General features: G+C 41.1%; 1 long non-coding RNA gene and 1 pseudogene across 1 annotated transcript; one reads left to right on the top strand and one right to left on the bottom strand.

The window, feature by feature from the left end:
- Positions 1-381: 381 nt before the first annotated feature.
- LINC02190 (long intergenic non-protein coding RNA 2190) lies at positions 382-7,251 on the top strand. The gene is made up of 2 exons (NR_146571.1): positions 382-804; positions 4,662-7,251. It is a non-coding gene; the product is annotated as a long intergenic non-protein coding RNA 2190 (long non-coding RNA).
- Positions 6,212-7,144, bottom strand: VN1R64P (vomeronasal 1 receptor 64 pseudogene; annotated as a pseudogene).
- Positions 7,252-13,497: the final 6,246 nt, after the last annotated feature.

Genomic DNA, 13,497 nt, shown 5'->3' with positions numbered 1-13,497 from the left:
AATTGTTTAAATTTAAATAACTCAAATCATTGAATTAATAAATTATTTTAACTTACTTTAAATACATACATGCAATTTATTGAAGTATAGATATTAATACTCAATAAATGTTTATTCATTTTAAGAAATTGGCTCATGTAACTATAGAGGCTGAGAATTCCCATTATCTGCTGCCTTCAAGTCAGAAATGCGGGACACCCAGCGGTGTTGCTTGAAGGTTTGAGAACCAGGAGTGCTGAGGGCAATAGAAGATCCCTTCAGGAGTAGCCCCAGGTAAGGGACCCCAAAGAGTGACCTCACTTCCTTGACAATAGACCCCAACAGAACTTGGAACACTGGAAACCAAGCACCCACATTCTAGAAACAGTCTCTCCCCAGCTCACTTGGCTGAAGATACTAAAGAGAACTAGATGTTATCTAGTGTTATCCTGCTGATCCCAATTTCCTATAGTTCTGGCACCAGAAAATCCTGAATGATAGGTTTTTCTGAAGCTGCTGACATCGGGTCAGCCCTCAACACCATCACCTTTGGCCATGTTCAGGAAGTACTCAAAGGTAACACTGGCAGCCAAGAGCAGGCCAATCAATGTCTGGCCACCACCCTAATCCCACCTGGACAGTCACACCCCACCTCCCTATGTGTGTTCGCACAGTGGGGGTGATATCATGTGGGTCTGGCCTGTCCTGAGCAGAACCTGGTGTTGGGTTGTCAGAAACCCAGTGACCCATCACGTTCACTCTTCAGATCATGGCTCAAAAGTCTGCAGAGCAGAGACAAGAGATTGACAAAGAGGTGTTGATGAGGTAATGTATTCCATTTCCCTAGGTGAAAGGCAGGTGCACCACACTGTGAACAAGGACCAGTGCTGGACTGGAGTGAGTGCAGGAGCAAAGGGTTCTCTAAGCTGGGCGCAGTGGCTCACGCCTGTAATCCCAGCACTTTGGGAGGCCGAGGCTGGCGGGTCATCTGAGGTTGGGAGTTCAAGACCAGCCTGGCTAATGTGGTGAAACCCCGTCTCTACTAAAAATACAAAAAAAATTAGCCGGGCATGGTGGCAGGTGCCTGTAATCCCAGCTACTTGGGAGGCTGAAGCAGGAGAATTGCTTGAACTCGGGAAGCGGAAGTTGCAGTGAGCCGAGACCACGCCATTGCACTCCAGCCTGGGCAACAAGAAAGAAAATCCATCTCAAAAAAAAAAAAAGGTTCTCTAATCCAGAGCCTGGAGGGGGCTGGGGAAGGCCTTCTGCTGAGACACTACTGTAAATAGCTTTATTCCATACACACACACACTCACACCCATGCGCACGTGGGTGAAAAAATATGTAAACCTTGATATATAGATGTAGATGTAGATATTCATTCTATTAGTTCTGTTTCTCTGTCTTCTTGAGTATGGCCATCCTAGTGGGTGTGAACTAACACTTCATTGTGGTTTTGATTTGAATTTCCCTAATGAATAACTTTTCACGTGCTCATTGGCCATTTATGTTGTATTCTTATATCCTCATGTGTTCTTATCACCAATAATTAAAACATTCTCTGGTAAAATATTTTTCTAAGTTAATTTACTTATAAAAATTACAAAGGCATGAAGTGATTTACTCAATGAACGCTGTTATCTCATTTAATTTTTCATGTCATGATATGAGCTGATTCTCTCATTGGCGTGTCCTGTATTTTTGAAATGAACCCTTCTCAATCATTTTCTGTACCTGTATATTAATTATACATGCAAATCCATGACTTACACTTGCTTAAAGTTTTGACATAATGTATGTATTAGGTATCTTATTATTTAACAGAAATCACTTTTTCCTCTAAGTTTTCTAATTTATTAGTGTAAAGTTGTTTGTCTTAGAATGTAGACTTTTTAAAAATCTCCATGAAGTTTTAAATACTGTTTATTTTTTAATATTAAATATATCTTTTCACATTTTTATTAACATTGCAGTAAGCTCTATTTTATCATTAATTTTATTTTATTATATCCCATGTAATACTTATTCTAAATTTTTTACTTACATTATACTTTATGATAACACATTATTTAGGCTAAGCTTTTATTTTTTTGAGACAGTGTCTTGCTCTGTCAGCCAGGCTGGAGAGCAGTGGTGCGATCTGGGCTCACTGCAACCTCCGCTTCCCAGATTCAAGCGATTCTCCTGTCTCAGCCTCCCAAGTGGCTGGGATTACAGGCACATACCACCATGCCTGGCTAATTTTTGTATTTTTAGTAGAGATGTTTCACGCTGTTGGCCAGGCTGGTCTCAAACTCCTGACCTTAGGTAATCCGCCCACCTCAGCCTCTAAAAGTGCTGGTATTACAGGCATGAGCCACCTCTCCTGACCAAGGTGAAGCTTCTTTTTTTAATTTAATTTCAGAGTTTGACATCAAAAACACATATTGTCAGGCATCTTCTATTGTAGCATTTGAATTTGCAGCCATCTAATTTTCTCTACTTTTGAACAAATACAGTGCACAACTTGAATATGAAGAATTTTTATTGTCTTTTCATCTGAAAAGTTCTAAATATTAATTAGGAATATTGCTTAGTTTTTAGGTTTAGTATTTTAAATTGCTTCATAAACTATTTCAAAATATTATTATTTAATAGTGGCAAGGTTAATCTCTATGATTAAAATATTTTACATTCTTTAAGCCTCCCTCTGTGATTGCATTATTTCAATCGTTCTATATTGCTGAGTAATGCAACACATAGCCCAGGTTCCATATATGTCCATTGGACCAAACTTCTGCATTGTATTTTTCAAATATTTGAATTTTCAAGACATTTTACCTGCTTTACCTAACAATAATAAGAAAATATCTGTGGAAATTTTTCACTTCAACCACATGGTTAGCCCATTTGTATTATGATTGTTTCAAATTGGCTCCCTTGAATATTTCAAGGCAGCAATTACCACCAACTCCCTAGAAAAAGGGAAGCATAAGCCTCCCCAGGGTCCCTGGCGTCGGCTCCTCCACCGACGGTGACTGGTTCCACCAGATTCACTTCCCAGAGGTCACCCTGATGCTTATTTCTTCTGAACAGGCTAATTGGGATTATTGCTAATACAGCATAGTCTACCCTCACAGTGTCCCGAAAATTAGGCAGTTTTCTTGATGAGTCTCATATTCATCGGCTGTGAGTCGAATTCTAATGAAAATCTCTTTCCACAGTCCTGTGCTCATTTCGCTCCACCCAGACCACTGCGTCCATTTTTACCTTAAAATATTTGAAATGGACCACTCTCCTCCCACAAAAAATTCACAGATTTCACAGAACTAACTTTCTTTTTAGAATTTAAGGTAAAATGCCACCCGCCATGCAAGCCTGGGTGGGGAGCGCAGCTGCAGGCCTGGGGGGCAGGAGCGCAGAGCCAGGCAGAGAGGGGCTGCGGCAAAGGGGGAGGCCCAGACAAGGCGACCAGAGGGCCAGTTTTCAGTGTGTGAATTTTTGAGTGAAGCCTCAGCTCAAATGAGAAGAAATCTGCAAACAATAACTACTGACAGTGAGTCTGCAGAGTCATCTGAATGCATAACATGGAATGTTCTCAAACCAGAAGTAGCAGAATGTGTGACTCCATTGATGAGGACTGACTACTGGCTATAGGCCCTGGGTCAAGACAATTTTTATACCTCCCTGGTGGTTCAGAAAGGAGTCTCTGTAAAACCAGAAGCAAAGAAAGGAAACAATCTGAATTTTCTTTTTTTTTTTTTTTTTTTGAGACGGAGTCTTGCTCTGTTGCCCAGGCTGGAGTGCAGTGGTATGATCTTGACTCACTGCAACCTCCACTTCCCAGGTTCAAGCGATTCTTCTGTCTCAGCCTTCCGAGTAGCTGGGATTACAGATGCCCACCACATCACCTGACTAATTTTTGTATTTTAGTAGAGACGGGTTTTCGCCATGTTGGCCAGGCTGGTCTCAAACTCCTGACCTCAAGTGATCTGCCTGCCTCAGCCTCCCAAAGTGCTGAGATTACAGGCGTGAGCCACCGCACCCAGCCGTTATTGTGAATTTCTGTATTTTCTCTGTCCAATCTTCTGTAATTTATTTTGTCCTGTTGTTACGGGAAAGGGGTCCCGATCCAGACCCCAAGAGAGGTTTCTTGGATATCACACAAGAAAGAATTCAGGGTGAGTCCACAGTGTAAAGCAAAAGCAAGTTTATTAAGAAAGCAAGTTTATTAAGGAGGTTTATTATGGTAAAACGACAGCTACTCCTTAGACCAAGCAGGGCGTTTCTGAGAGTAAGAGGAGGAAGGTGTCAGCCCCAGGTACAATGTTTGTATATATACAGGATAAAAAAAGATCTTGGGGAGATGTGCTCTGCTACAAGGACTTGTGATAAAGGATTAATTTTCTTAATTACTATATTTTGCAAGAATCAATATTATTATCTTTAAAGCAAAATTAGGAATGCCTTTGTTCTCCAAATATCAGCATATCCAGACACTCCCAAGTCTGGATCTGTTTAGTAAACATTATTGGTTCCCTTAACCATGAACATGTAGAGGCCAGCCTCATTTTCCTAGCCCTCACTCAAAATGGAGTCACTCTGGTTTGAACGCCTCTGACGCTATGCTTGTGTTTCTTTTATTTTGAATTACAAAAAAGAGGTATGATGGAAGCTCATTCACCCTTTTGTGATTATTCCAGTGAGATGTTACTGTTCTGCTCTGGAGAAGATACTGTCAGATAATGTCCCGCATTTCCATCAGCTGGCATGCATGCCTTTGGACTCGGACAGGGTTCTTTGGATTGTAGCTGAATTTTCAATGTTTAGTCAATATGGATCTGATCTCCGCATGATCTTTTTTGTGAATGCCAACACCATTTTGTAACTTTTTTCCATTCTAAACATTTTTCTTTTCACTGCCAACCCTCTGCCTTGTGATTTTATTGGAAATCAAGGACCTGCTATTATTTGTTAATTTGCCATCATTTATGTGTATATTGAAAGGTACGAAACCCACAAGCACAATGATCATTTTTATTTGTTTGAAACTTCAGCAGAATAGATATCTGCATGCTTTATGAAGTTGCTTCGATAGCAGCCCCTGGGATGCCAGAAATTAGCATTTCTTTGCTGCCATGGGCTGATGATACTGCTGCTATTAGAGAAAGTTTAGCTGTGGCACCAACTCACAGCATTTTCATAGAAAAAGATTACTTGTAGCTTATTTTAGAAGTAGGAACATTTGGTCTATTCGACTAGACTTGCAATTTTAAAAAAAAAAGGTTGCATTCATTAAAGAAAAAATGAATTTAAGGTAAAATGACAAAACCTGATCTTTAACATCCTGAAGGATCTGATACATTATTTTCCCTCCAACTCCATCCCAGGCCTGGTGGTAGAACTGCTATTTTTCCTTCTTACCTTTTAGAAAAGTATGCATCTAGATTTTATTCAAAAATAGAAGAAACAACAGTAGAATCATATAAATAGCAAAAATTTGAAACTCAAAATATTAAGCGTAAGTTACAAAAAAACATATAAACAACAGAATATGTGGGATAAATACCAATTTTGATACAATTAGTCTGGATTAAAAGGCTGAAAGTTCAGGTGAAGGAGCAGAGAATGCTCCTTCAAAACCAAAAGAGAGAAAATCTTCGTATAAGAAGCATGAACATAGGATCTACACATCAGAAAATTTATAGAAGGACAGAATTATTTTTAAATAATCAAAAACTAGTCTCATTAAAATAAAGTATAATCATCAAGGACAAAAAGAAAATTCTACAACTTGAAAATGGGAAAAAAATGAAGATTAATTCAAAACAAAAAATGGCGTGAACTATGACTTTCTTCTCACTTTCTTCATTGATCATCACTTAAAGCTTCTTTACTTCATTAAACTTTTCTTACACTGCTGTGCCCAGTTAATTCCATGACATTTTTTACTAATTGGTTAAAATTGCACTGTTACAAATTATTAGAGGCCCACATTTAATGAATAATTTGCCTCTAAACTTCTCCATTGCAACATTAACAAAATGAAAATTATGAATGCCCTTTGCAAAACATTTCATCTGTAACTGTCGTTTATGATACATGAAAAATCCTTGAAGGGCAAAGACAGATTCTGAGTCTTACACACACTTTGCAATTGACTGCCAATTGTGGTGCTTAACCTTCTGCAGGAAGAAATCAACAAATGGCCATTCATTGTACAGAAAGAAGACAATCCACATAAATCGGAGAACTATCTGATCAGCTTAGGCAACTGTGGATTCCTTCCACAGCAAGCAGAGCCCAGCCTGGCTATTCTGGGATGGCTGCTCATGAGCACAAAGGGGCTGACCGTGGGAAAACAGGCAGTGATCAGTGCCAAGGTGTTCAACAGCCACCAACTGGGATTAGGAAAAAGACGTGTAAAGATGGAGGAGAGCGAGTAAAATAACACAAGGTGCTCACCAGGACCAGGATGCTTTGGGTGACTCTGGACTCAGGGGAGGATCTGGGGGAGAGGTTGGTCCCATGAATGTGCTGGACCTGCTGCTTGAGCCTGTGCAGGATAAAAACCATGGAGCCACTGGCCAAGGCCATGAGCCCCAAACACAAAACATCAAGGGATGATAACAAGACAATATGTAATGACTGTAGAATTCTGCTCCTACCTCTTCCAGAACAATACTTATAATCATTTGTCTTTGTGCTATTTATGCTGTTCCACTTGCCAGTCACATGTAGAGGAACAGTAATATTTACCAGCGTGTTCAGAATCCAGCACAGGACCAGGATGTTGAAGGACCTGATGTATCTGGGAGCATGTAGTTTAAGCTGTGCCCACCTGAATTCGCTGGGGCTGATGGTGATGACCTGGAAGACACTCAGGAGGCAGGCATTGCCAACGCACACAGCCCTGCCCACTCTGTGAACATAAAACACAAGTTTGCATCCAATATCACTGAGGGAATCTTTCGACCCAAAAGCAGCCATTGTTTGTGGGATTCCTTTAGAGTATAACCTAGGAGTTGGCTATGGTCAGGTGCTTGAGAATCAGATCTGTGGACCATAACATACCTCTGGTGAAACAAAGGAAACTATAGTGGTAAAGAAGAAAGAAATTCCCCAGGAATCCAACTATGATCTGAGATAAGAAGATCATGCCTATTGAAAAATCCCTGGAGGCCATTTGTCATTTTTCAGTGTCTGATAATTACATTCAAAGTGAGAGAACCCTGCGTGGAAACATAAACTCTGTTTCACTTTTGCAAATAAAATCCACTATTGTCCACTTACCGTTGTTTCCAACTTAGACATTTTCTTTTTTTTTTTTTTTTTTTTTGAGACAGAGTCTCGCTCTGGCCCAGTCTGGAGTGCAGTGGCGCATCTCGGCTCACTGCAAGCTCCGCCTCCCGGGTTCACGCCATTCTCCTGCCTCAGCCTCCCGAGTAGCTGGGACTACAGGCGCCCGCCACCACGCCCAGCTAATTTTTTTGTATTTTTAGTAGAGACGGGGTTTCACCATGTTAGCCAGGATGGTCTCGATCTCCTGACCTCATGATCCGCCCACCTCAGCCTCCCAAAGTGCTGGGATTACAGGCGTGAGCCACCGTGCCCGGCTATTTGTGGGACATTTTGTTTTCTGTTGTGTTTTCTCTTTTTTTGAGATAGAGTCCACCCTGTCACCCAGGGTGGAGTGCAGTGGCGCGATCTTGGCTCACTGCAACCTCTACCCTCCCAGTTTCAAGCGATTCTCTGGCCTCACCCTTCCAAGCACCTGGGATTACAGGGGCACACCACCATGCCCAGCTAATTTTTGTATTTTTAGTAGAGACGGGGTTTCACCATGTTGGTCAGGCTAGTCTCGAACTCCTGACCTTGCGATCCGACAGCCTCGGCCTCCCAAAGTGCTGGGATTACAGACGTGAGCCACCACGCTCAGCCTTGTTTTGTTTTTGAGACAGAGTCTTACTCTGTTGCCCAGGCTGGAGTTGCAGTGGTGTGATCTCGGCTCACTGCAACCTCTGCCATCTGGGTTCAAGCAATTCTCCTGCCTCAACCTCCCAAGTAGCTGGAATTACAGGCGCCTACCACCACACCCAGCTAATTTTTTGTATTTTCAGTAGAGATAGGGTTTCACCATGTTGGCCAGGCTGGTCTCAAACTCCTGACCTCAGGTGATTCACCTGCCTCAGCCTCCCAAAGTGCTGGGATTACAGGCCTGAGCCACCACACCCAGCCTATTTGTGGGGTATTTTGAAGCCAATTTTATAATGGCCAACCTTATGCCTTGAGGGATAAAAGATGAAGGGCCAATGTGGATGAGGAATTTTAATGGTAGTTTTGTTGCTCCATAATCAGCCAGAGACAGAACATTGGTTCACTCCTCTTAACCTACAGCATAGGGTGAAGAGAATATTGCCAGGAGGCCTTCACGCTTGTCGATGGGCATCATTTCTTAGGTCTCTTTTTCTATAGTTTGGAGTAAATATAAATGAGGCAATGATTAGACATTTGTCCCTCATAGTGGGCTCTGTAGCAGCTTCTACTGCAAAGGCTTTGGTTGTACAGCAGTCTTCTTCAAGTTCCGTTGCTATAGTTGTGCTAGATAATAGAATAACTCTAGATGACCTAATGGCTGAACGTGGAAGAATCTGCACATGGTTGAATACATAGGTATTAGAGAGATTTAGTTGTAGGGAATTAACAAACAGCCTGCTGGGTTAAAACAAGTACTCTATCTAGCTCACTCCTTGATCTATTTTATTTTAATTGGTTTGGTTTGGACCCTGGCTAAGGAGCATACTCCAAACTCTTGGTATTATCCTCCGGATACTCACAACAGTAATCTCCCAAGTATTCTGTATTCTCTCAAAAGTATTAAATGTTTGTTTGCAGCCATCTATGGAATGGCAAATGATCTCTTTGACTGGAATGACAAAAACTCAAAGAAATGTATGCTCATTGTTTGAAATGCTTGTTCCCTGGTGCTATAAAGAAATAGCACTTGAACATAAATTTAATTTACTCAGCAAGGCCATTTTTACTTCCTGCAGAAAGGTTACACTTGCCAGCAGTTTTGCCAAGAGAGTACACTGAACAAAGGACACAGGGTTATTTATAACCTGACGTGTCCACCCTACTGCTGTGCCTGGTTTCCACTGGCTGGAATGGGGCCTTACATTCTGTATTTGTCCCAATTGGCTAGCAATTTAGAACTTTTTAAAAGAGTCAAAGGCAGAGGAGAACAAAGGAAGGAGGGAGTAACTTGTGGAATACTAAGAAAGGTAAAAACACCTTCAAATAAGGAAGAGGAACAGGCTATGACTTAATGCTTGCTTGAACCAGTATAAGCATGCCAGGGCAAATATTTAGGCTAAATTGTGGGAGCTAAGAACACAAAGTACATTGATTTCTTTATCATGGCTAGCAGATATTTAAGAATGTTAGCACAGGTCTTTGAATAAATTTTGCTTCTAAGGGAAGTTACTATTTATTCCTAATTAAATGGGGAGGAAAATCTTTGAAGAGGAACCTCTACTTTACTTTTTACAATCATGAAAACAACACAATCTATGAATGTATTTGCTGAGACCAGAAGCCCAACATGATAGTGACTCAGAGTAGCACTAAAGCCCTAAGTTTTGGTCACACACAAAATTGAGAGTTTGACCAAAAGAGGAGATTGTTAAATTAAGTTTAGCCTAAACCTGTCTTCTTATATATTTTAAGTTTGGCCTAAAAGTTTCTCTCTACCTAGTTAACTGTAACTTACCTGGATGTATAGATAGACTATGGCCTGCTCTTGTACCAATCATTGAGCTTTGGCCAATCAAAGACGGCCAATTGTTCACATCATGTTCAAATAAGATAAATGCCAAGCTATACCCAATGCAGCTGTTTCTGCAGCTCACTTCTGTACTTTTTTCTGTATGTCACTTTCTTGATTCTGTCCATAAATCCTCTCCAACCACACAGCAGCATGGAGTCTCTCTGAACCTATTCTGGTTAAGGGAGCTGCCTGGTTTGCAAGTCATTCTTTGCTCAATTAAATCCTGTTCAACTTAATTTGCCTAAAGTTTTTTTAAAAAACATGACCACAATGAACATGAGCTTGGAATACCTTAGGTGGGAGGAACATGGTAGGTGACATTGTTGGGAGGATGAGGTGAGGCCAGAATGGGGTTTGAGGGCCAGAAAGGGACCCGTCTGTGAGGCTGATGAGGTCGCTATTGGTAACTGTGCCTGTTATATGGGGACAGGGTTATTACCCCTACGAAACATAAGAGAAGAGGAAAAGCAGGAGGTATTTCCCTCACATTTTTTTACATTTCCACAAGAGCCAATAGCCAAGTACATGGCTTCTATCCTTCATTCTCATAGTGTCCAGAATAACCAGCAATGTCCAGTGAAGAAGGGGCTCAAGTGCACACAGCAGTCTTCTAAATACTGACCAAAACAAATTAGGTTTAAAAATCATCTACATCTTTCTCCATCACAAAATTTTTATCAAGTTAATTTTTAAAATTGGGTTTGATTTTAAAAAACTTTTTAAATATATAAACATTACTTTCAAAATTCTGGTTGGTTAAATGCCAAGACCAGCTCAGTCGGGGGAGACCCTAACCCAGTGGGGTTAGATGAATTAAAGACACACACACAGAAATATAGCATGTGGAGTGGGAAATCAGGGGACTCACAGCCTTCAGAGCTGAGAGCCCTGAACAGAGAGTTACCCAAATATTTATTGACAGCAAGCCAGTGATAAACATTGTTTCTATAGATTATAGATTAACTAAAAGTATTCCTTATGGGAAACAAAGGGATGGGCTGAAACAAAGGGATAGGCTCTGGCTAGTTATCTGCAGCAGGAACATGTCCTTAAGGCACAGATCACTCCTGCCATTGTTTGTGGTTTAGGAATGCCTTTAAGAGGTTTTCCACCCTGGGTGGGCCAGGTGTTCCTTGCCCTCATTCCGGTGAACCCACAACCTTCAGCATGGGTGTCATGGCCATCGCAAACAAATCACAGTGCTGCAGATTTTGTTTATGGCCACTTTTGGGGCCAGTTTATGGCCAGATTTGGGGGATATCCCCAGCATGTCCCCCTTCTTGTTTTTGCAGGGCAATAAAAGCAAAGGTGGCTTTATCACGGTGAGCTACTTCTCACAGGAGTCGGGATCCACATCTGCAGACTACACAAAAACAAACAACACAGATTAAAAGCACAATCACCATTGAAATCACAGAGCCTCCAAGTGTCTTTATCTATTTTAATGGGTTAATAGCTGCTAATCCGTCTGCAGCTCCTTCAAGCACTGCAGTTCCTGGCATTACGGTCAGGTGTGCCTGGGATGCTTTAAATATTTGTTCTTTTAATTTTGCAATATCCAAAGACAAATTTGTAGAGTGTCCTTCTAGATCCTTTTTTATTCTTTCCCAAATTTTGATCTTACTAAGAACCATTAATAGTTTCCACAAATCCTTATGTTTAGCTCCTATAGCGGGCCATATCATCTGAGGTTGAGGTGCCACTATACTGCCATGTTTCAATATAATAGGAACTCTTGCTGTACTTCTTACCATTTCTACCATCTGACCATTTTGTTTAGACCAGTTGAACATAGGGTGGCCATGGCACACTATGCTCCAACACTGTGCTCCAATCCAGTGATCATAACATTGGAGTAATATTTCTAGAGTGGTGGCAACACAAAGTATATCATCCATATAATGAATAATGTAACGCTGTGAAAATTTTTTACAAGTAGGTTCAGTTGCTTGCCCTATATAAGTCTGGCAAATTGTTGGACTGTTTAACATGCCTTGTGGCAACACTTTCTAGTGAAAATGCTTAGCAGGCTGCAGGTTGTTTACTGCAGGAATCGTAAATGCAAACCATTCACAGTCTTGCTCAGCTAAAGGAATAGTAAAGAAACAGCCTTTTAAATCTATGACTATTAAAGGCCAATTTTTTGGAACCATAGCAGAAGAAGGGAATCCTGGCTGTAATGCTCTCACAGGTTGTATAGCTGAATTAATGGCTCTTAAATCAATTAAAATTCTCCATTTACCTGATTTTTTCTTAATTACAAAAACTGGAGAATTCCAAGGGGAAAATGTTGGAGCTATGTGTCCTTTTCCTAATTGTTCAGTAACTAAGTCCTCTAAAGCCTCCAGTTTCTCTTAGCAGCCGTTGTTCTATCCAAATTGGCTTATCTGTTAACCATTTTAAAGGTATAGGTTCTGGAGTCTTAACAATGGCCGCCATCAAAAATGATATCCTAAACCTTGGTGGGAACTTTGTCTTTCTGCTGGAAGCGGTTCCTGCAAATCTTGCAAATTTTTTACTAGTCCCATACCAGGGACATACCCCATTTCATGCATCATATGTTGACTTTGAGGGCTGTATAATTGCTCTGGAATTAGAACTTGTGCTCCCCATTGTTGTAATAAATCTCTCCCTCATAAATTTATAGGTACAGAAGTTATAATTGGTTGAATAGTCCCAGGTAGTCCATCAGGCCCCTCACAATGCAAAATATAACTACTTTGATATACTTCAGGGGCTTTACCAAATCCAACTATGTTAAATTTAGCGAGTTGAATTGGCCACATTGATGGCCAGTGCTGCAAAGAAATGATTGAAATGTCCACTCCTGTATCTATCAAACCTTTAAATTTCTTTCCCTGGATAGTTATTTCATAGGTAGGATGTTTATCAGTAATTTGATCCATCTAATAAGCTGCTTTGCCTTGTTTATTTGTGCTTCCAAATCCTCCTGCTCATTTAATTTCACTTTTCCCCATTTCTACATATGGCACAATCAGGAGTTGTGCTATACACTCTCCTGGCTCTGCTTTCCAGGGAACAGAAGTAGATATAACAATTTGAATTTCCTCATTGTAATCTGAATCAATGACTCCTGTTTGTACTTGCACTACTTTTAAATTTAAACTAGACCTGCGTAGAAGTAATCTTATCATCCCTGCTGGCAAGGGTCCACAGACCCCTGTTGGAACTTTTTTTGGGGTTCCCCAGGCAGAAGGCTCACAGCTTTTGTGCAGCATAAATCTACTGCGGCACTCCTGGCTGTGGCAGGTGACAGACATTGTACGGGGGTTAGGGAATGGCCTGAGCTGGAAATGTCACAGTTTGGAACAGGGCCCAGGACTGGCCCCTCATGCCTTTTTCCGAATTTAAAAGGAAAAGACTCAAATGTAGCTGTAATATCTCCCTGTTGATCTGGGGGGTGTATTCTAACAGGGAAACTGCCAAGCCTCTATATCACCCTCTTGTCTAGCTTTCTGAATTCCTGCCTGAATAGAACTGAGAGCAGTCGCTCAAGGTGCTGCTCAAACAGTCACTGGGGCAACTACTTTTTGCCCAGTGTCTGCCCGAAAAGAAAGATCTGGGGGGTCAGGCCACTCTTTTTCTTCAAAATAATGAGGGGGTGCAGAAGGGCAGGGATGAACCTCTCCCTCCTTTGCTGCTTTAGCTTTAGCTGGCAAACAAACCTGCTCTGTCATCTCCTCTGTTAC

This window comes from Homo sapiens, chromosome 16 (genome assembly GCF_000001405.40).
Source record: "Homo sapiens chromosome 16, GRCh38.p14 Primary Assembly".
NCBI classification, from domain to species: Eukaryota; Metazoa; Chordata; class Mammalia; order Primates; family Hominidae; genus Homo; species Homo sapiens.
The sequence above is the reverse complement of the archived record's forward strand: the minus strand, read 5'-3'. Positions and strand labels throughout refer to the sequence as shown.